At 42.1% G+C, this 23,591-nt stretch overlaps 1 long non-coding RNA gene across 4 annotated transcripts in view; it reads right to left on the bottom strand.

Moving 5' to 3' along the window:
* The window catches only part of LOC105374329 (uncharacterized), a 59,127-nt gene that overhangs the window by 32,512 nt on the left and 3,024 nt on the right, over positions 1–23,591 (bottom strand). For 2 of the 4 annotated variants that reach the window (XR_939840.4, XR_939838.4), the window contains exon 3: positions 19,779–20,250. The exons of 1 other annotated variant lie outside the window; for it this stretch is intronic. This is a non-coding gene — a long non-coding RNA (uncharacterized LOC105374329). Of the gene's footprint in view, positions 1–17,322; positions 19,552–19,778; positions 20,251–23,591 lie in introns of those variants that run through there. One more of the 4 variants, XR_939839.4, reaches the window with a different exon arrangement.

Genomic DNA, 23,591 nt, shown 5'->3' with positions numbered 1-23,591 from the left:
TTTGTAGAGATGAGGTCTCACTATTGTTGCCCAAGCTGCTCTCAAACTCCTGGGCTAAGAGATCCTCCCACCTCATCCTCCCAAAGTGCTGGGATTACAGGTGTGAACCAACACATCCAGCCTACCAGGGACCTTCTTGCCGCATCATCCCATGGCAAAAGGTGGAAGGGCAAGACAGCATGGACCCATGCATGCACATGAAAGAGAGGAAGAGAGGGAAGGAGAGAGAGAGGAGAGGGGAGAAGGAGGCAATGAGGGGAGGGGAGAGGGCTGAAATCATCCCTTTATCAGGAACCAACTCTGGCAGTAACAAACCCACTCCCTCAGTAATGACCTTAAACCATCAGTGAAAACAGAGCCCTCATGACCTAATCACGGCTTAAAGATCCCACCTCTCAACACCATTGCATTGGGGATTAAATTTCCAACATATGAATTTCGGGGGACACATTCAAACCACAGCATAGTTATAAGATAGGACAAGTGCTTTCTGTTTGAGCCATCCCAAATCCATCTTGTTTAATATACTGGTTACAGGGGAATAACTTTGGGGAGTTGGGGAAGGATTGATTGCAAACGGGAGAGACTAGCATCTATTGTCTAGATATTAGACAAGGAGGCACTGTGGGCTGAGGCTATTCCTGAGGTAAACCTGGCAGGACTTAATGACTGCTTAGATGTGGAAGGGAAGAACGGTGGATGACTCATGACAGCTTCTAAAGTTTCTAGCCTGAGAGTCTGAAAGATGGCGACTTGATGGATAGCAATGCCACATTCTACGGCTGAAAATGTGTTCTATAGAGACCACACACTTAGGTCAACGATGCTGCGTTTTTGGAACTCTTCAACTGAGTTTCTTCGGAGCCAATGGCTTCTGAGCCAATTCATGAGTCATATAAAAGAATCAATCTCATTACTTTTCATTTCTTCAGTTTTTCATTTAGTCCATCACTTAGCAAGCTTTCGTTAAGTGTTCCCTATGCATTATGATGCACTGTGTTAGTCACTGCAGAGAAAAATCAGCAGGACACGGGGTCAGTCCTCAAGAAGTTCAGCCTACTCCAGTTAAAGATTGGGGTAACCATGGTTTTTGTGGCCTTATCCCCCTTTAACTCCTTTATGTCACTGTTCTTCACGTAAAAAAGAGCAGAGTATCATGTACATTGGGTATAGACCATCTTAAGTCCATGACCTTATCACGTTTTGTCTGAGTTATTTTAGGTCCTGCAGAACTTAGGTTGTTATGACAACATGGCCCAGAAACTTGATCTCTGTCCAAATTTGTACTTTCTAAATGTAAGCAGACCCTCAAAATCAGTCTAAAAATCACTGGCACAAAATGTACCCACACAGGCCCATACAAATGTGTTTTCTCTGCTTGTCTGTCTCTCACTATACCTGTAATGCGCGCACACACACACACACTTACGCAAACACACTTATTCATACCAATCAGATTCCGTTCAATCTGATAACAATATATATCTAATATTCAGAATATCAAAGTTTTATGCTAAATCCTCTAGGGAATATGAAAAATTTAAAACATAGTTCTTTCTTTCCAGAGGCCCATAGCTTAGTAGGAAAAACAGATACTTTATAAATAGGGATATGTATGCCGGGCGCCGTGGCTCACACCTGTAATCCCAGCACTTTGGGAGGCCGAGGCAGGCAGATCATGAGGTCAGGAGATTTGAGACCATCCTGGCTAACACGGTGAAAGCCAGTCTCTACTAAAAATACAAAAAATTAGCTGGGCATGGCAGCACGCACTTGTACTTGGGAGGCTGAGGCAGGAGAATCGCTTGAACCCGGGAGGAGGAGGCTGCAGTGGGCCAAGATCGTGCCACTGTACTCCAGCCTGGGTGACAGAGTGAGACTCTGTCTCAAAAAATAAATAAATAAATAAATAAATAAATAAATAAATAAATAAATAGGGATATGTGACGCAAAGTTAGCAATGAAGTGATGTAATAAAAGAATAAGCCAATTAACAAAGGAGAAAATCTACAATAACCTCTTATACTTAAGTTGCTTATTTTTTGGACCTCAGGGGCAGAGATCTGAGTTCCTCATACTCCAGTGTGCTCAACAAACATTCTCATAGCACCTATCATGTAGCAGGCACCTTTCTTGGCCATGAGAATATGTGTTTTTTTTTTTAAGAGGCGGAGTTTCATTCTGTTGCCTAGGTTGGAGTGCAATGGCATGATCTCGGCTCACTGCAACCTCAAGTGATTCTCCTGCCTCAGCCTCCTGAGTAGCTGGGATTACAGGTGCGTGCCACCATGCCCAGATAATTTTGTAGTTCTTTTAGTGGAGACAGGGTCTCACCAAGTTGGCAAGCTGGTCTCCAACTCCTCGTCTCAAGTCATCCGCATGCCTCGGCCTCCCAAAGTGCTGGGATTACAGGCGTGAGCCACTGAGCCCCGTGAGAATATGTGACTTTTATTTAAATTGGGGGTACAGTCATTAAACAAGCAAATATCTGATAGTGGTGACAGTGGAAAAATTAAAAGCAGGATGGTGAGATAGCAAGTCCTTAGATGGTTCTTTGGTTTGGGTGGTCAGAGAAAGCTTCTCTAAGGATGTGACATTTAAGTAAGACCTGTGCAACAGAAAGGAGCCCACCTTGAGAAGGAAGACCAGAAGGATGAGCATCTCAGACAAATGGAACAGCTACCCCCAGCAAGAATGCATTGTGCACACTGGAGAAACTAAAAGAAGCCAGGAGTGCCTGGAACACTGTGGGCAAAATGGGGAGAAGAGGATGAGATGAGATTGCCTAGGTGGGCAGTGATCAGGTAATGTAAGACTAGATTTGAAAATAATACAAAGTTTGAGGCTGGGCGTGGTGGCTCACGCCTGTAATCCCAGCACTTTGGGAGGCCAAGGCGGGCGGACCACAAAGTCAGGAGATCAAGACCATCCTGGCTAACACGGTGAAACCCCGTCTCTACTAAAAATACAAAAAATTAGCCAGGCGTGGTGGTGGGTGCCTGTAGTTCCAGCTACTTGGGAGGCTGACACAGGAGAATGGTGTGAACCTGGGAGGCGGAGCTTACAGTGAGCCGAGATGGCGCCACTGCACTCCAGCCTGGGTGACAGAGACTGTCTCAAAAAAAAGAAAATAATATAAAGTTTGATTGGTCTTTAAGCACATTGTACACACACACACATGCACACACAATGTGAATGTGCATGCACACACACAGACACACACACACACAGTTCCAAAAATGTTTCAAGCTTTGGCAGAACTGCTGGAAACTATGACTGCTTTGAAAGAAATAACATTCATTTGGAAGAAGCTTAAAAACTCATTACTTCATATCCACATCTAATACTTAATTTGACTAGGAAAATCTAAAGAACAAAAGGATATTTGCAAACTGTACATGAGCTCTAAGTTTTATCGATGGTATCACTTAACAGAGTGTAGGAAAAGCCATGGCCAGGGACTCCCAGAGAACAGTTTAAAAACAAGAAACTCCGTGATAGCAAGCAGAAGGGGTGAAGCAATTCCCACTCTGAGGGGGTGAGGAAGGACAGTTTTTGCTGTGCTTCTGGTTAGGCCAGAGGTGTTTGCTTGCCACATTCTTGTCATTGGTTCTGGACAAGGGGCCCCTCTCGTATTTTATATTGCCATTTCCTCAATCTTCACTTCCATAGGCATCCTCTCTAGTATGTTTGGAATATGTCCTCAGAGAGAGTTATTTATCTTTGATAGATACGTGGGTTGTTCCATGAATGTGATTTTAACTAGCCAACATGATATTGTTCTATCTCTCATTTATTCACACCGTACTATGAATTGTAGTTCATCCATGTTGCTCCGTATATCTAATTCATCACTTCTAATTGCTACAGAGTGTTTTGTGATAAGGACCCTTCATATTTTAGTTATTCATTTCCCTAGAGATGGATACTAGCTTGATGCGCACTTTTTTTTTTTTTCTTTTTTTTTGGAGACGGAGTCTTGCTCTGTTGCCTAGGCTGGAGTGCAGTGGGTACAATCTCGGCTCACTACAACCTCTGCCTCCCAGGTTCAAGTGATTCTCCTGCCTCAGCCTCCCAAGTAGCTGGGACTACAGGTGTGCACCACGACGCCCAGCTAATTTTTGTATTTTTAGTAGAGACGGGGTTTCATCATGTTAGCCAGGCTGGTCTCGAACTCCTGGCCTCAAGTGGTTCACCCACCTCAGCCTCCCAGAGTGCTGGGATTACATGCAATGAACATCCTCATAAAGGTGAACTTTTGGGCCTGAGGTGAGCTTCTCTTGGGGGCTGCAGGGCCAAAAAGGCTCCTGTCACTCAGCTTCTCTGGGGAAGGTTGGATTGCTGTCCTGAATGAATGCACTAGTCCGTGTGCCCATTATATTTTCACAATTGATTTCTACAGAATACACTGAGTCTTGGGGACATTTGGTGGCATATTCAAGGTCAAACATGTACAAGTCTCAGAATCAAGATCCAAGTCTTCCCCTTCAGTCTACAGCTTTTTCCATTGGGAAAATGCCTTTCTGAGGAAGCTGACACTTACCTACATGATGTTCATAAACACAGACACCAAGTTTAGTTGAATTACTCTTTAAGGAGTATAATTATCCTTCTCTGCCCTCATTCCATGATGATTGATTGAAATGCAGACACAAGAGACACTAGGTTTTTTTCTTTGCGAGGTCAAGGTTTTATTTCCTTTCATCATGAAATCACCTGTTCTAAGCAAGTATGTGCTAAGGATAAGTTACTTCCTTTCCATGAAGGAACTTACCATCTAATTTCCTTTCATAGCACAGTCAACAACAATACAGATAGCAGATTTTGTAAAATTCTCCTGTAGTTCTGTGTTCTTGCATCTGCATCCCATCACTTCAGAATCCCGCAAAATCGACAGCTTTACCTGGTTCCTGTTCTCCATTTCCAGAGACTACAAACTCCCTCAAACTTCAGGTCCCCAATATCAGTCATTTAGGAAGACATTTTTGAGGCTGGTGGACACTGCCCAATGTGTATGTAGCACAGTGAGTTTGTTGAGAGCACAGTGCTTTCTGAGCAGGTATGACAGAACCAAAAACTGAATCCATTTTAGCTACAGTTGGTTGTGCCCTTGGGTTTGAAATAATTACTTTCCTAGACATGTGGTTCCCAGATGAAAGCCATGCTGTGATTTGATTTTTTTAAATGCAAAAAAAAAAAAAAAGAAAAAATTCTGTAGCAGAAAATTCATCACCAACATGTTAAGGAATTTGATGACTAAAAATAATCTCCCCACAGAGTGCATTAACGTGGTGTGCAGATTTGGGAAAAGGATGAACCCACTGGGGAGTCTGTATGATTACACCTGTAATCCCAGCACTTTGGGGGGCCAAGTTGGGTGGATCATGAGGTCAGGAGTTGGAGACCAGCCTGGCCAACAGAGTGGAAACCTGTCTCTACTAAAAATACATAAAATTAGCCAGACAAGGTGGCAGGCGCCTGTAATCCTAGCTATTCGGGAGGCTGAGGCAGAAGAATTGCTTGAACCCGGGAGGCAGAGGTGACAGTGAGCCAAGATCACGCCACTGCACTCCAGCCTGGGTGACAGAGCGAGACTCCATCTCAAAAAAAAAAAAAAAAAAAAAAGAAGAAAAGGAATGACATCAACAATGAACTGGGGCAGCTTTTGACTTGCTTAGCATCAAGAGGCTGTCCCACATGACAAAACAATATTTGAATCAATTAAATAACAGGTGATTACAAATATTATGGATACTAGCCCTCGAATCAAATTAACTCCCTAAAGGCAAGTTACAAGTCAGGGAGAGCTCAACACAAGATATTCTCAGCATCTTTTGATTCTGTGTTGGAATCTGGACTTGACAGTCAACTCCATACACAATTAGGTGGAGCCCACTCTTCCTTCTCAGAAAATGATTCTCCTAGTTCCTGGAGAAAAAAAACCACCTAGTTGTTTTAAAAGTAGAAAAGCATTAAAGCCAGGAATTACCATGGGGCAGGCAGGTAGCATGAGTAATGTTAGGTGAAGGTTGAAGACACTGACGTATTTAAACACTGAGTCTCTAAGCCCAAGGCCATTCATTATTAAGGCTCTAGGGACTTGGGACCAAATTTCGTCTGCATTAGTGTTTTTTTTGCTTCTGTGTTTGTATTAGCTTCAATGCGTGGTTTTTCTGTGTCCTGGGAGGGGCATGAAGTCTCTAGTTAGCCCTAGCTCCCCCACTCCCTGTTGTCTTACATCCCCACATGGTGGTTAATTTTATGTGCCGGCTTGGGTGGGCCATGGTGCTCAGATATTTTGTCAAACATTATTCTGGATGTTTTATGTGCAGGTGTTTTTTGAATGAGATTAACATTTAAATCCGTGAACTTTGGCCAGGTGCGGTGACTCACGCCTGTAATCCCAGCACTTTGGGAGGCCAAGACAGGCAGATCATTTGAGGTCAGGAGTTCAAGACCAGGCTGGCCAACATGGTGAAACCCTGTCTCTACTGAAAATGCAAAAATTAGCTGGGCGTGGTGGCAGACACCTGTAATTCCAGCTACCCAAGACGTTGAGGCATAATCGCTTGAATCCGGGAGGCAGAGGTTGCAGTGAGCCAAGGTTGTGCCACTGCACTCTAGCCTGGGGAACAGACTGAAACTCCATCTCAAAAAAAGAGAGAGAGAGAGAGAGAGAGAGAGAAGGCAGGAAAGGGGCAGAGAGAGCAAAAGAAGAGATGCAAAGGCTTCCATTCCATTGATTTTTCTCTTGATTGTCTAGCTCAGCACTGTCCAATAGAAATAGAATGCAAGCCATATATATAATTTTTAATTCCCTAATATCACATTAAAAAGGTATAAAAAGAATAAATAAAATCAATGTTAATAATGCATTTTATTAATGTGTTTTATTTAACCTAATATATTTAAAATATTGTCATTTCAACATACGGCACCAGCTACATTTCAAGTGCCCAATAGCTGCACATAGGTAGTGGGTACCGTATTGAAGAGCTCAACTCAATATCCCAGAACTCATTTCCTACAGCCCCCAGGGCCTCCCAGCACCCTGCTCTCTGATCACAGATTCCAATCACATTTCCCTCCATGATCCAGGGTTTCCCTGCCACACACACTCAACTCTCCCAACCAGATAGGAGAAATTTTACTGGCTTTTTTCATCTTATTTTTTCTCTGGCTCTAAACCAATATCTGACCTTTGGCAATGTGCTTCATTTCACCTGCTCTGGTGAGAGGTAGTGAGATTTTTTTTCCTCTTTCCCTGTTTCATCTTTGTCTGTCTGGCATTTGGCATACGGCCTGGCACATGTCACTGCCTCACAGGTGAGTGACTTTGGGGCATTTAAACAGGAGGGAGGTTCGGAAGACCCGGTGAGGGTAAAATCATGAAGATCAGGCTGTTTATACCAGGTGCCTTGATGAGCTACATCTTCACCTTTGGGATAAGTGCTCAAAGCCTTCAGGCTTTCCCCCTTGAGCTGGCTTCCCATGGGCAATGGTCAGGCCAGCTGTATGGCACAGAGCCTCCCACAAAGCTGGACTCAGCAATGTCTGAAAAACCCAACTGAATCGACTTCAGGCAGAAGAGACTAGCCAACTGTGGGGCCTGAGCTGAGACTCGGGCAGGAATACCTACTGGAAATTGGCCCAGGGAGGGAGCCACGCAGCTCTCTGAGTGAAGAGTGTTCTGTGCAGCAGGGGGACGTGTTTCTGCAGTTGGAGGAGCAGCTCGCTTAGAGGGAATATCGTCCTGGATATGGCCATGGCAGCAGCCATCTCACCAGGCCGGTTCCACACTATGGTTCTGAGAGTTGTTACTGGAAGCTCAGCTGAGAGCCTGTTCTTCCAGCCCTTCCAATGCTTATATGAGCTACTTAATAAATCCCTTTCTGCCTAAGCTAGTTAGTATAAACTTTATTGTTGAAACCAAGAATCTGACCCAACGTAATTAATTATAGTATCAGTCTTAGGGTTTTCCTTTATACTGTTAAGTGCACTTATATCTCTGTTATCTGAGGCAAGGGTCTGGGGAAATGGGCATGGTTACCAATGGGAATATAAATTGGTAAAATGTCTGGAAGGGTATGTTGGTAGTATTTATTTAAATTATAAAGGCACTTACCTTTTTAACCAGTATTCTAATTATAGGCATTTGTTCTGCAGATACACTTGCATATATAGAAGCTGAGTTATGTACAGTTGCAGCATTGTGTGTGAGAACAAAATATTTTAAATCACCTGAAAGCAACAAGAAGAAACTTTATCTTGATGAAATGACTAAGCTGCTTTTACCTGGAACTTTAATATATGTGAAGGAAGGCTGTCTTCTATGGTGATAATCCAATTAAGGTAAGAAGGAGATCCAAACCAATAGCTAGAGATTGCATATTGCAGGCACAGCTGGCAGGACTCAAACTGTCCAACACAAGTGGATACTCTGGGATGCAAAACCAAAATATCTGGCTTAGAACAAGCTTTTGTGCAGGCCAGTTATTGAGGCTCCCTTGGACCCCATTTGAGACCACAAAGGGGCAGGGGCACCAGGGTGAGGAAAGACTCTTGGCACCGTGATGACACAGCGTGGAGGGACAGCTATCAGTCATAAGCAGCCCTGCAGATGCTAGCCTCTCTCTGTAGAAGAGCAAAGGGTAAACCAGCTCACACAAGCACACATATGAATCCCTGCTGGGATCATGGGGACTCAGGTAGGGGTTTGCCACTCTGCTCTGGTGCCTCCCATAGCAAAGAGGCTGTCTAGGAGGCAGGGGCTCTAGGAGACGCTATTCATGTTGTATTCCACGTCAATGGCGCCCCCTGGAGAGAAGACAATTTGGATGTTGCCCATTGGAAATAGTGTGTGTCAACCCTGCAGGAAAAGTGCCCTCATTCAAAGGTGAGAAGTAACTAAAAGAGAAACAGCACACAAATCTTTAGGAAAATACAAGAAGGAGAAAGGAGGAAATCAATAGGGAAACAACTGGCAGGTAAAGAATACAGAAACATCTTGCCTCAAAACTGGTGAAAATCATGACCAAATACAGTAGTCCCCTGCCCTTATCCACAGAGGATACGTTCCAAGACCCCCAGTGGATGCCCAAAACCACATTTAGTACCAAACCCTATATACTATGTTTTTTTCCTATATGTGCTTTTTTTTTTTTTTTTCCTGAGGCAGAGTCTCACTTTGTTGCCCAGGCTGGAGTGCAGTGGCGTGAACTCTGCTCACTGTAACCTCCACTTCCTGGGTTCAAGCCATTCTCCTGCCTCATCCTCCCAAGTAGCTGGGACTACAGGCATGCACCACCATGCCCGGCTAATATTTGTACTTTTAGTAGAGAGGGGGTTTCACCGTGTTGGTCAGGCTGGTCTTAAACACCTGGGCTCAAGTGATTCACTCGCCTCAGCCTCCCAAAGTGCTGGGATTACAGGTGTGAGCCACCGTGCCTGGCCCCCTATATGTGCATGTCTATTTGATAAAGTTTAATTTCTAAATTAGGCACAGTAAGGCTGGGCTCAGTGGCTCACACCTGTAATCCCAGCACTTTGGGAGGTTAAGGCAGGAGGATCACTCAAGCTCAGGAGTTCCAGAGTAGCCTGGGAAACATAGCAAAACTTTGCCTCTACAAAAAGTAATATTAGTCAGCATTGTGGTGCATGCGTGTAGTCCAAGCTGCTTGGGAGGCTGAGATGGGAGAATCACTTAAGCCCAGGAGGTTGAGGCTGCAGTAAGCCATCATGGAGCCTCTGCACTCCAGCTTAGGTGACAGAATAAGACCCCATCTCAAAAAATAATTATCATCATGAAAAATTAGGCACAGTAAGAAATTAATGACAATAACTACTAATAAAATAGGACAAATTAAATAAAGTAATATAATGAAAGTTATGTGAATATGATTTCTCTCTCTGCATTGCACCTATTTTTGGACCCTGGTAACTGAAATTGAGAAAAGTAAAACTGTGAGACTACCATAAATCTCCATAAACTCTAGGAACTAAAGTAAAAATAATCTCTATATAACAAGCACTCAAAGCAGAGATACAAGAGTTCAAGGAAAAAAATGACAAAGCAACTGAAGATGAAAAATGAGCTGGCACTAATGTTTTCTTTGAGGTAGAATTACATAAAGTCTTAGATGTACAGTCTGATGGATTTTTTTTTTCAAGTAACCATACCCATGTAACTACCACTCTGCTACAGATATGGAACATTCTCCGCATCCAAGAAGACTCCTTCCTGCCCCCTTCCAGTCAAAAGTAATTGCTGTTTTGATCTCTATCATCCACCATAAATTAGTTTTGCCTATTGTTGAATGTCCTATAAATGAAAACATATAGTAGATGTTCTTCTATGTCCAGGTTCTTTCACTTTACCTTATGCCTGTGACAGTCATCTACATAGTTGTGGATAGCAGTAGTTCATTCTTTTTCAATATTGTGTGGTATTCCATTATATGACTATGCCACAATATATTAATGCATGAATTTTCGAGTTGTTTCCGTTTGTGTTATGAATAAAGCTGCAATGAACATCCTTGTGCATGTCTTTTGGTGAATATAAGCATTCATTTTCATTAGGAATATACAAAGGAGTGGAATTTTTAGGTCATAGAGTATATGTATATTTCACTTTGGCACCATTAAGTTTTCCAACGTGGCTGTACCAATTTAAATCAGGAACACATGCTCCATATCTTTGCCTCCATTTGGTTTTCCTTTTAGTTTTAGCCATTCTGGGAACAGCACCTCATTGGTTTTTTCACTTACATTTCCCTGACACTTCGAACCTTTTCATGTGTTTATTTATTGTGAGGTACCAGTTCAAGTCTTAGCCCAGTTTTTATTGGTTTGTCTTGCTTACTGATATGGAGTTCATTATATATTCTGGACAGGAGTCTTTCATCAGATATGTAAATACAAATATTTTATTCCCATCTGTGTCTTGCCTTTCACTCAAATGATGTCTTTTGATGCAAAGAAGTTTTTAATTTTAATCAGGTCCAACATCAATATTCTATTTTATATTTGGTAATTTGTGCTCCCTATTTAAGAAGTCGTTGCTTACCTCAAAGTCATGAAAATAGTCTCCCACTTTCACATTTACTTTTATGATCCATTTCAAATTAATGTTGATGTATGGAGGGATGCAGGAGTCAAGGTCCATTTCTTTTCTATATGGGTAGCCAGTTAACCTAGCACCATTATTGAAAATAACACCTAAGCCAGGCATGGTATTGTGTGTGCCCCAGCCACTTCAGAGGCTGATGTAGGAGGATGTGAGCCCAGGACTTTAGAGCCAGCTTGGGCAACAAAGTAGAAACCCATTTCTTAAATTTATCTGTTTTTTTTTTTTTTTGTGAGACAGTCTTGTTCTGTCACCCAGGATGGAGTGCAGCGGCATGATCTCAGCTCACTGCAACCCCTGCCTCCTGGCTTAAAGTGATTCTCATGTCTCAGCCTCCCAAGTAGCTGGCAGTATAGGTGCATGCCACCACACCCAGCTAATTTTTGTATTTTTAGTAGAGACGGGGGTTTCACCATGTTGGCCAGGCTGGTCTTGAACTCCTGATCTCAAGTGATCTGCCTGCTTTGGCCTCCCAAAGTGCTGGGATTACAGGCGTGAGCCACTGCACCTGGCCACTGCGCCCGGCCGAGCCCAATCTCTTAAATTAAAAAAAAAAAAAAAGAAAATAACATCTTTTCCCACTAAATTTCATTGGAATCTTGTTATAAATCAGGAGTCTGTACCTGTGTGTGTCCCTTTAGCCCAGAGAGTGGACCAGCTCGGTAAGTACTTTCTTGTCTTGCCACTTCTCCTCTCCTTCCTACCATGTCCTTTCTGTCCTAGCTCCTGGTAAAAGTTCCTAACAGACAGCATCTAGCTGGGAGGGAGTCTGGGGAAGGGAGGGTGACAGTGAAAAAAAGAGCAGCAGTTGACCCCTCCCACCTTTCCTGGATCACAGCCTCTCACCTGCAACAGGCCCCAGCTGAAGGAAGGGCGAAGGTGAATCACTATGCTCGGCCTGTGAATGTGAACTAAAGGGATTGTAAGGATTTTTATTACCCAGGAGTGACCAGAGATGTGATGAAAATGCTTGAGTTTTCATCCAGAAGGGAAGGCAAGGGCTTCCTGCACTGAACAGCTTTAAAGGGAAAGTAGGAGATAAAAATAAAGTTGCTTCTATGGCCACAAAACACAAGTCCTGCCTGTTCAATGAGCCAGTTACACACAAAAAACCAGTTAAGCCAGAGTAAATTCAAAGACCTGAATTTAGTCTGTGAATTTTTTCATGATTTTTCATTCTAATTATTGCTTAATTATTGGGATGATTAATAGACATTACATGTACAGACTGATCAAGGTGTGTGTAGAAATCAAGGAATAAAAAGGCTCTAAATATGTATGACTTCTATCAATTATCCATGCTTGAAGAAAGTCATATATAATGAGAGTATAGGAAATGTTTAATATCAAGAATAGGCTAATTAAAATCAATGCCAGTGATCACTACTCACCTGGTTCAAGCTCATAAAGGATGACTTAATTACATCCTTACACCCATTATTCCATATATAAGGAGGACTGAGTCACTCTTCTGTATTTCCACCCCATCCCCAGCACCTCTCCTAGGTATTCTGTATGTAACTTTATTTACCCAAGTAAACCAACTAAAATTTTCTATATTATATATATTATGTTATATTATATATTATATTAATATATTATATATTATATATTATGTTATATAATATATTAAATATAATATATCATATATAAATATATATTATAATATAATATATATTGTAATATAATATATATTTATAATATATATTGTAATATAATATATATATTTATAATATATATTGTAATATAAAATATATATTTATAATATATATTGTAATATAAAAATATATATTTATAATATAATATATATATTTATAATATATATTGTAATATAATATAAATTATAATATATAATATATAATAATATATATTATAATATAAATATATATATAATATAATATATATTATAATATATATAATATATAAATTATAATATAATATATATTATAATATATATTATATTATAATATATAATAATATAATATATATTATAATATAATATATTATAATATAAATATATATTATAATATAATATATATTATAATATATAAATATATAATATAATATATATTATAATATATAAATATATAATATAATATATATTATAATATATAAATATATATTATAATATATAAATATATATTATAATATATAAATATATATATATATATTTTTGAGATGGAGTTTCACTCTTATTGCCCAGGTTGGACTGAAATGGCATGATCTCAGCTCACTGCAACCTCTGCCTCCCGAGTTCAAGCGATTCTCCTGCCTCAGCCTCCTGAGTAGCTGGGATTACAGGCATGTGCCACCTTGCCCGGCTAATTTTGTATTTTTAGTAGAGACAGGGCTTCTGCATGTTGGTCAGGCTGGTCTCGAATTCCCGACCTCAGGTGATCCACCCACCTCGGCCTCCCAAAGTGCTGGGATTACAGGTTTGAGCCACCACCCCCGGCCCAAATAACATATTTTTTTACTTCTCCATGTCATGCACAGAAAAGATAATGTTTTTCTTTTTTTTTTTTTTTGAAATGGAGTCTCGTTCTGTCGCCAGGCTGGAGTGCAGTGGCAGTCTCGGCTCACTGCAACCCCCACCTCCTGGATTCAAGCAATTCTTCTGTCTCAGCCTCCCAAGTAGCTGGGATTACAGGCGTCTGCCACCACACCCAGCTAAGTTTTGTACTTTTAGTAGAGACAGGATTTCACCATGTTGGTCAGGCTGGTCTCGAACTCCTGACCTCAGGTGATCCTACCACCTCAGCCTCCCAAAGTGCTGGGATTACAGGTGTGAGCCACCATGCCTGGCCATAATGTTTTATTTTCTTAAGTCCCAACTCTTCTCCTTTACATTTTTAGATGTAGATATCACTGTTGAATATCACGTGTGCATTTTGAAGATAGATCACCCAAACTGTGATCTTATTATTTTAATGTGATGTAATAATCTTGCAAAGTTATGGCAGGAAGGAAGCACATAGAGATGACTTTTCAACTTTCCATGTGCCTGCAATGAACCAGGGGATATTTGGACATTTTAATCAGAGAGACCCAATTGGTTATATTACCTATAATAAACTTGTAATAATAACATTAACTTGTAATCCTCAAACGTTATCCAAAAACTACATTGTTGATGCACAGATTCATTCCTTTGTTTCAGAACAATAGTGTACACTTTTTTTTTTGCAAAGCATGACAACCTTCTAAGCCAAATCTCAGTTTTGAAGTGGAACTTTGCATATGCAGTGTTCTCCCAATGGTTGAAAGGTTTATGCATGAGTTGTGGAGGGAATACAATTCTTCTTGGATGTTTCTATGAACATCAAGTTTCCCAAATTTTTGCAATTTATATCACAGACAAGGGCAAATTTCCCAATTTATTGGGAGTCCTTACAAATGAAGACCAATCCACAATAGAAAAATAGGTCAAAAAAAAAAGTATGGAGAGTTTCCAGAAAAGGAAATATAAGCAGATTTTTTTTTTCGTTTTTCCGAGACGGAGTCTCACTCTGTCATCCAGGCTGGAGTGCAGTGGCATGATCTCAGCTCACTGCAACCTCTGCTTTCCGGGTTCAAGCAATCCTCCTGCCTCAGCCTCCCGAGTAGCTGGGATTACAGGCCTGCACCACCATGACCGGCTAGAGTGTATGTGTGTGTGTGTGTGTTTAGTACAGATGGGGTTTCACCATGTTGGCCAGGCTCCACTCCTGACCTTGTGATCCACCTGCCTTGGCCTCCCCAAAGTGCTGGGATTATAGGCATGAGCCACCACGCTCAGCCTTTTTTTTTTTTTTTGATGTGGATTTTCACTCTTGTTGTCCAGGCTGGAGTGCAATGGCATGATCTTGGCTCACTGCAACCTCTGCCTCCCGGGTTCAAGCAATTCTCCTGCCTCAGTCTCCCGAGTAGCTGGGATTACAGGCGTCTGCCACTGTGCCCGGCTAATTTTTTGTATTTTTAGTAGAGACAGGATTTCACCAGGTCGGCCAGGTTAGTCTTGAACTCCTGACCTCAGGTGATCTGCCTGCCTCGGCCTCCCAAAGTGCTGGGATTACAGGCGTGAGCCATCGCTCCCAGCCATAAACAGATTTTATACAAATGAAAAGATGCTCAGCTTTATCCTAAGAGAAATGAAATTGTAAATGATGCAATTCCACTTTTACCTGCAGATTGGTAAGATCAAAAAGTTTTATGACACATCTAAATCGGCAAGACTGCAGAAAAGCAGGTACTCATGCATTGCTGGTGGGAGTGTGAACTGACCGAAATTCTCAAGGGAGCAATTTGCAATGTCCATCAAAATTACAATAGAATATATACAGGCTGGGCTTGGTGGCTCAGCCTGTAATCCTAGCACTTTGGGAGGCCAAAGCAGGTAGATCACTTGAGGTCAGGGGTTCCAGACCACCCTGGTCAACATGGTGAAACCTCGTCTCTACTAAAAATACAAAAATTAGCCAGGCATGGTGGCGCATGCCTCTAATCCCAGCTACTCGGGAGGCTGAGGCAGGAGAATCACTTGAATCCAGGAGGCGGAGGTTGCAGTGAGCCAAGATCGCGCCACTGTGCTCCAGCCTGGGTGACAGAGGGAGACTCTGTCTCTAAAAAAAAAAAATTACAAGCTGAATATACATGTTTGTCAAAGCTTACAGAATTGTACAGTAAAAAATATTTTATTTTGTGTAAACTATATATTTTTTTAATGAAAAAACTAATATTAGTCTCTTCAAAATAAATTCTATATTGACTTTAAAGATAAGGAGAGGATGGCTGGGCGAGGTGGCTGCCACCTGTAATCCTAGCACTTTGGGAGGCTGAGGCGGGAGGATCACAAGGTCAGGAGTTCGAGAGCAGCCTGGCCAACAGAGTTAAACCCCGTCTCTACTAAAGATACAAAAAATAGCCAGGCATGGTGGTGCGTGCCTGTAGTCCCAACTACTTGGGAGGCTGAAGCAGGAGAATTGCTTGAACTCAGGAGGCGGAGGTTGTAGTGAGCTGAGATAGCACCACTGCACTCCAGCCTGGCAACAGAACGAGACTCTGTCTCAAAAAAAAAAAGATAACGAGAGGATGAAGTTGATCTATACTTACTGGTATGCAATAAACTCCAGACATATTAATTAAAAACTCAAGGTGCAGAATAGTATGTGTAGTATATACCTTTTAAGCAAAGGCAAATGATGACATATACTTATTCATATATATATGTTTGTATATGCATATATCTAGAAGTACACACACAAACAGTGGTTACCTCCAGGGAGGGAGCCTGGAAACCAAAGAGTAAGAGGACTTACTTTTTACTGTATGTGTGTGTATATATATATATATATATCTGTGTGTGTGTGTGTGTGTATATATATGTATATGTGTATATATATGTATATGTATATTATATATATATATATACACACACACACACACACACACACTTTTTTTTTTTTTTGAGGCAGTTTCGCTCTTGCTGCCCAGGCTGGAGTGCAATGGCGCGACCTTGGCTCACTGCAATCTCCGCCTCCCAGGTTCAAGCGATTCTCCTGCCTCAGCCTCCCAAGTAGCTGGGATTACAGGCATGCACCACCACCTCGGCTAATTTTGTACTTTTAGTAGAGACAAGGTTTCTCCATGTTGGTCAGGCTGGTCTTGAAATCCCGACCTCAGGTGATCCGCCCACCTCGGCCTCCCAAAGTGCTGAGATTACAGGCGTGAGCCACCGCGCCTGGCCTATATACATACACTTTTATTCTATTTGGATTTTCTTCCCATGGTAGGCATTATTTTTTCGAGTATAATAAAACCTAAGCCTAGCATAATTTCAGCACTTTGGGAGGCCAAGGCAGGTAGATCACCTGAAGTCAGGAGTTCAAGACCAGCCTGGCCAACATGGTGAAACCCTGTCTCTACTAAAAATACAAAATTAGCAGGGCATGATGGCGCACGCCTGTAATCCCAGCTACTTGGGAGTCTGAGGGAGGAGAATCGCTTGAGCCCGGTAGATGGTTGCAGTGAGCCGAGATCGGGCCATTGCATTCCAGCCTCGGCAACAAAGCAAGACTCCATCTTAAATAAAAAATAAAAAAAAAACTAAACTAAAAAAGTGTGTGTTGGGGAGGATATACAAACACATATACCCTTGGCCCAAAAACTTTACGTCTAGACATTTACTGCAAAAATATATTTACCCAAGTGCAGAATGACATATGTACAAGATTGTTTATTGTAGCATTGTTTTCAAGAGCCAAAGATACAAAGCAACTGAAATGTCCATCAACAGACATTAATGAAATCATGCTATTATGAAATTGTGGGATACTCAGACGCTACCAAAAAGAATGAAGAAGCTCTTTATGTACTACATGCAAGTACATCCAAGATATCTTCAGTGAAAAGAGCAAGGCTCAGAAGGTCCATACACCAGTGTTGAGGCAAAGGGGGAATATAATACATTGTTTGCTTAAATATGCATAAAGTCACTCTGGGAGGCTACATCAAAAGCATGAAATGGATTAGCTCTGGGGAAGAGAATTGGGCACCTGGGAAACAGGAGCGGGAAGGAAAGTTTTCACAAACATTTATTTGTACCCTTTGAGCTTTCAGCCATGCGAACAAATTTCCTATTAAAAATAAAACATGGCCAGGCATGGTGGCTCCCATCTGTAATCCTGGTACTTTGGAGACCAAAGTGGGAGGATTACTTGAGGCCAAGAGTTCAAGACCAGCCTGGGCAACATAGGAAGACCCTGCCTCTACAAAATCTAAAAAAAAAAAAAAAAATTAGGCCAGGCCCAGTGGCTCATGCCTATAATCCCAACACTGTGGGAGGCTGAGGCGGGCGATCATTTGAGGTCAGGAGTTCGAGACCAGCCTAACCAACATGATGAAAACTCATCTCTACTAAAAATACAAAAAAATTAGCTGGACGTGGTGGTGTATGCCTGTAATCCCAGCAACTCGGGAGGCTGAGACAGGAGAATCACTTGAACCCAGGAGGCGGAGGTTGCAGTGAGCCAAGATTGTGCCACTGCACTCCAGCCTGGGCGACAGAGCGAGAGACTCTGTCTCAAAAACAAAAACAAAAAAATTAGCTGACTGTATGGCACACACCTGCAGTCCCAGCTACTTGAGAGATTGAGGCAGGAGGATTGTTTGAGCATAGGAGTTAGAGCAATGAGCTACAATTGTGCTACTGCACTCCAGCCTGTGTGACAGAATGAGATCCTGTCTCTTGAATAAGTAAATAAATAAATAAAACAGACCACCAGGTTTCCCTGATGTAGTACCACTGTGATACAAGACACAGGTGTTCACTTACGATAATAATCTTTCTTTAGCATAATCAACGTACTATTTACCACCATAAAGAAGCAGAGTTTGACTTACAGTTTCAATTGTGCATGAAAATAAATGACCTGTTTAAGGGGATAAACAGATGTATAAACTGATTGGCCACCTGTGTTACAATGGCATCATCATGGCCAGTCACAAAAGATTTCTCACCCTTTGACAAGAATGTGGACCCCTGGGGTGGAGTGTGGCAAAGGTCACTGTGGAGAAGGCCAGAGGCACTGACTTAGGAACAAAGCCTTTCTGAAATGGACAATGTCTTCACAGTGTCCTCCAATTCCAGGCACAAATGGCCCTCAGCCAAGCCCAGAGATTGCAGTCACACAGCCAGGTCAATCTATCGTGCCCGTCTTAGTCCATTTTGTGCTGCTATAAGGGAATACCAGCGACTAGGCAACTTATAAAGAAAAGAAATTTATTCTTCACAGTTCTGAAGGCTAGGAAGTCCAATATCAAGGTGTCAGCATCTTGCAAGGGCCTTCTTGCTGAGTCATCCCATGACAGAAGGTGAGAGGGAAAGAGAAAGATGCTTAAACAAAGCAGCAAATTTACTTGATTATGTAACTGAAAAGTCTGGAAATAGGGCTTGCTGCTATCTTGGCTTAAAGGTTGAAATGTATCACGAGGGTCTGCTTCTCTCTCTCTCTCCCTCTCTCTCTCTCACCTCTGTTCTCAGACTGGCTCCCACTGAAGATGTCAAGATGGCTGCAGCAACTTTGGGCCTCACATTCCCTCAGGTAAAAATCTAGCAGGACAGAGAAAGAATCTTTCCCTCAGAAGTCCCCAGAAAAATGACTGATGAATGGAAGCCTCATTCATAGCCAATGAGAAGAAATGATACTTTTGCTGGAAATGCAAGCTTTGGATTGATTTAGATCAGAAGCTCTGTGCCTGAGCTAAGGGTGAAGCCCCGGCCAAAGCAGCCCCACTTGGGAGGCAGAGGCATGGATTGCCACAAAAGGGTGGCTGCCTGGTGGGCAGTAGAGAGAACAGCTGTCAGTAAACAGCTGTAGCCTAAGATAATTGGCGTGCAACAGATATCCAGTAGGAATGAGGATCTGCCAAGAACAAGAAGTACACTGAAAGAAAGAGGATAGAATATAGATGTTTATACCTATCACTTGACATTAGTGTTTCAAATTAAAGAAGTCAATATTTCTAAACTTGATATACAATTTCAAAAAGAAAGAATAATTAATGTTTCTGGACGATATGCAATTTCAAAAAGAAAGAATAATTGCTTTATTCTTTGAAATTAAAAAAACTTCATAAAATTAGCTGTAAAAAGAAAACTTTATCTTGGGAATTACTGCAGATATGATTACTCTCATCTAAAAGCATGAAGAAATAAAAGACAGTGATGGGAATCAGCTACTGACAGTTCTAGATGGAATGTCTAATTTGAAAATGATTTCTTCTTTTCCATGTAAGGCTCTTCCATAATATGTAAATTGGAGGTGATTCGTACAACTCACGTCGTGGTAAAATAATAGCTAGAGTAAGAAGTTTGGGTTAGAAGTAGAATTACTTTTAAAAATAGTTCTACTGTCAGTTTCTATACTCATCAAACTTTTAATGGCAAGACATTTAGTACAAGAATTCTTCTAAATCACTGCAGAGAATTAATAATTACCACAAGAAGAAAAACAGTTTCTGAAGAGGTGACGTCCTGCCCTTAGACAAAGGGTCTGGTGGATTTAGCATATAATCTCTCCTGAGTGTCTCTGGCAGGCACTATTGGCAGCCTACTCAATGGCTATACTTCACTTCTTTCTCACCTAAAAAAATCAAGTACATAAATAAAAGCCCTATTCTGACCAGGCAACCATGTGCCCAGCTTTAGGTTCTAAGTAAATCGTGGTTCTCTAACTTTTCTTTTGTCAGTCTAGCGATGGACATGTAATTAAATTCTGACAGAAGAAGTCTCCTGGGGGGCCCAGTTTAAATTCTTGCTTAGGGGGACTTGAGAAAGCCCTTTTGCTCCAGCCTCCTTCCTGCCTTCTTAAATGTGGCCCTCTGAGGATATAATGTTTAGAGCAGCTGCTCCATCTTGTGGTCAGAAGAGGAAAGCCATGGAAACCTCAAATTTGTGCCTAACACATCTACTCCAGGGATTCCAGACGTTTTGCTAAGTGGCATATTATGGGTCACATGGGTTGAGCCACTTTGAATTGGATATTCTGTTGATTTCAACCAAAGTCATTCCTACATGATATAGCTCCTCCTCAAATTTCCGATCTGTGGTTGCCATACTAAATACCACATATTGGCTGGGCGTGGTGGCTCACGCTGTAATCCCAGCACTTTGGGAGGCTGAAACAGGCGGATCACTTGAGGTCAGGAGCTCGAGACCAGCCTGGCCAACATGGTGAAACCCCATCTCTACGAAAAATACAAAAATAGCTGAGGCAAGAGCATCACCTGAACCCGGGAGATGGAGGTTGCCGTGAGCCGAGATTGTGCCACTGCACTCCAGCCTGGGCGACAGAGTTTCAAAAGACAGAGTATATAAAAATACCACATACTAATTTTGGAGGTTATATATTTGCCTTGCAAAGGCTAAAATAAAGGACCAACTTTCAAAAAACCATCCTTAAAGAACAACTATTTCTTAAACTATCCTATTCGTTTAAATTTGGGCTAGCGGTTTTTTTTTAAACAAAAATATCAAGCCAGATTCTTTTAATCATTTCCTTCAGAAAGCCGTTAAATAAATGTATTAGTAAGATAACATCCTCGCACAGCTGACACCTGTCCTCCTGCTTCAACTATGACAATCTGTGAAATCTGAGGAGGAAAGTGTTGAGCTCATGATAAAGAAGAGCTTTCACTGGAAGCCATGCAAAGACACAACAGGCTGCTCCTGAGGGCAGAGGGAGGCCTCACCATGAGAGGCATCTAGGCATGAACAGCCCGAAAGGACTTTGTGAAGGAAGCTTAAATAACACATAAAATCCAACCAGGTCATCTTTAAGCTTCTCCTCAACTCTGAAGTTCAAGGATTGCATGTTCTTGTATCTCAATTCTTCAAACTGGAAAACAAACATCTTTTGTGCTTAATTCTGCAACTCTGTTTTTTAGGGGTTTTTTTTTGGTTTCTTTTGTTTGTTTTTTTGGGGGGGAGGGGGACTGAATCTCGCTCTGTCACCCAGGCTGGAGTGCTGTGGCGCGATCTTGGCTCACTGCAACCTCTGCCTCCTAGGTTCCAGCGATTCTCCTGTCTCAGCCTCATGAGTGGCTGGGATTACAGGCGTGCCCCACCACACCCAGCTAATTTTTGTTTGTTTGTTTAGTAGAGACGGAGTTTCACCATATCGGCCAGGCTAGTCTTGAACTCCTGACCTCAAGTGATCTGCCTGCCTCGGGCTCCCAAAGTGCTGGGATTACAGGCATGAGCCACTGTGCCCAGCCTGCAAAACTGTTTTTAATGCCATCTACTCTCCTTGAACATTTGATATATACACATTTTTTTTGCCTTCTAACTCAGGGGTACCTAACCCCCAGGCCATGGACCAGTAAGTGGCATATTATGGATCATATGGGTTGAGCCACTTTTAGTTGGATATTCTGTTGCTTTCAACCAAAGTCATTCCTACATGATGTAGCTCCTCCTCAAATTTCTGATCTGTGGTTGCCATATGAAATACCACATGCTAACTTTGGAGGCTATATATTTGCCTGACAAAGCCTAAAACAAAGGACCAACTTTCAAAAATCCAACCTTGAAGATGGATTTGCCATCTCTGCCTCCTGTCAGATCAGTGGTGGCATTAGATTCTCATAGGAGCACAAACCCTTATTGTGATCTGCACAAGCAAGGGATCTAGGTTGCGCTCCTTATGGGAATCTAACGCCTGACGATCTGAGGTGTAACAGTTTCATCCGGAAACTACCCCCACCCTCCCATCCCCATTCCGTGGAAAAACTGTCTTCCACAAACTGGACTCAGGTGCCAAAAAGGTTCCGGACCGGCCGGGCGTGGTGGCTCATGCCTGTAATCCCAGCACTTTGGGAGGCCGAGGCGGGCGGATCGCGAGGTCAGAAAATTGAGACGATCCTGGCTAACATGGTGAAACCCTGTCTCTACTAAAAATACAAAAAAATTAGCTGGGTGTGGTGGCAGATGCCTGTAGCCCCAGCTACTCAGGAGGCTGAGGCAGGAGAATGGCGTGAACCCAGGAGGCGGAGCTTGCAGTCAGCCCGAGCCGAGACAGTGCCACTGCACTCCAGCCTGGGCAACACAGCGAGACTCCGTCTCAAAAAAAAAAAAAAAAAAAAAAAAAAAAAGTTCAGGACTGCTGTTCTAATTGCCTACTCCCCATCTTTAATATCATGTAACCCAAATTCTATACCCCACCTTTGTACTAAAAGCATTCTTACTTTACCAATGACTTTGAAGATTCAAGCCAACTCAACACATTTTTCATCATCTTTATCCTCCTTGAACTCTCTGCTACATCTAAGCCTGTTTTCCAACTTCTGCTTGAAACTCTCTCCTTCCTTCAGTGACATTCTAGACACTTGAGTTTGTGTTTTGTTTTGATTGTTTTTCTTAGTCTTTATCAAGATACAACCGAAGCTGGATGCAGTGGCTTATGCCTGTAATCCCAGCACTTTGGGGGGGCTGAAGTAGGAAGATCCCTGGAGCCCAAGAGTTTGAGACTAGCCTAGGCAACACAGCGAGACTCCATCTCTACAAGTTTGTTTGTTTTTTTTTAAGTAGCTGGGCCTGGTGGTGCACACCTATGGTCCCAGCTTCCTGGGAGGCTGAGGTGGGAGCATCGCTTGAGCCCATGAGGTCGAGGCAGCATGTGAGCCATGATCACACCACTGCACTCTAGCCTGGGCTACAGAGTGAGACCCGTCTCAAAAACAAAAAATTAATTAAATTAAAATAAAAGGTATAACTGAATCATCTGGGGAACATTTAAAAATTACACACATCTGGCTGGGCATGGTGGCTCATGCCTGTAATCCTAGCACTTTGGGAGGCTGAGGTGGGAGGATCACCTGAGGTCAGGAGTCCGAGACCAGCCTGACCAACATGGTAAAACCCCATCACTATTAAAAATACAAAAACTGGCCAGGCACAGTGGCCTGTAACCCCAACACTTTGGGA

The sequence above is a fragment of the Homo sapiens genome, chromosome 2 (assembly GCF_000001405.40).
Source record: "Homo sapiens chromosome 2, GRCh38.p14 Primary Assembly".
Classification (NCBI taxonomy): domain Eukaryota; kingdom Metazoa; phylum Chordata; class Mammalia; order Primates; family Hominidae; genus Homo; species Homo sapiens.
This window is presented reverse-complemented; position numbering and strand designations above follow the sequence as displayed.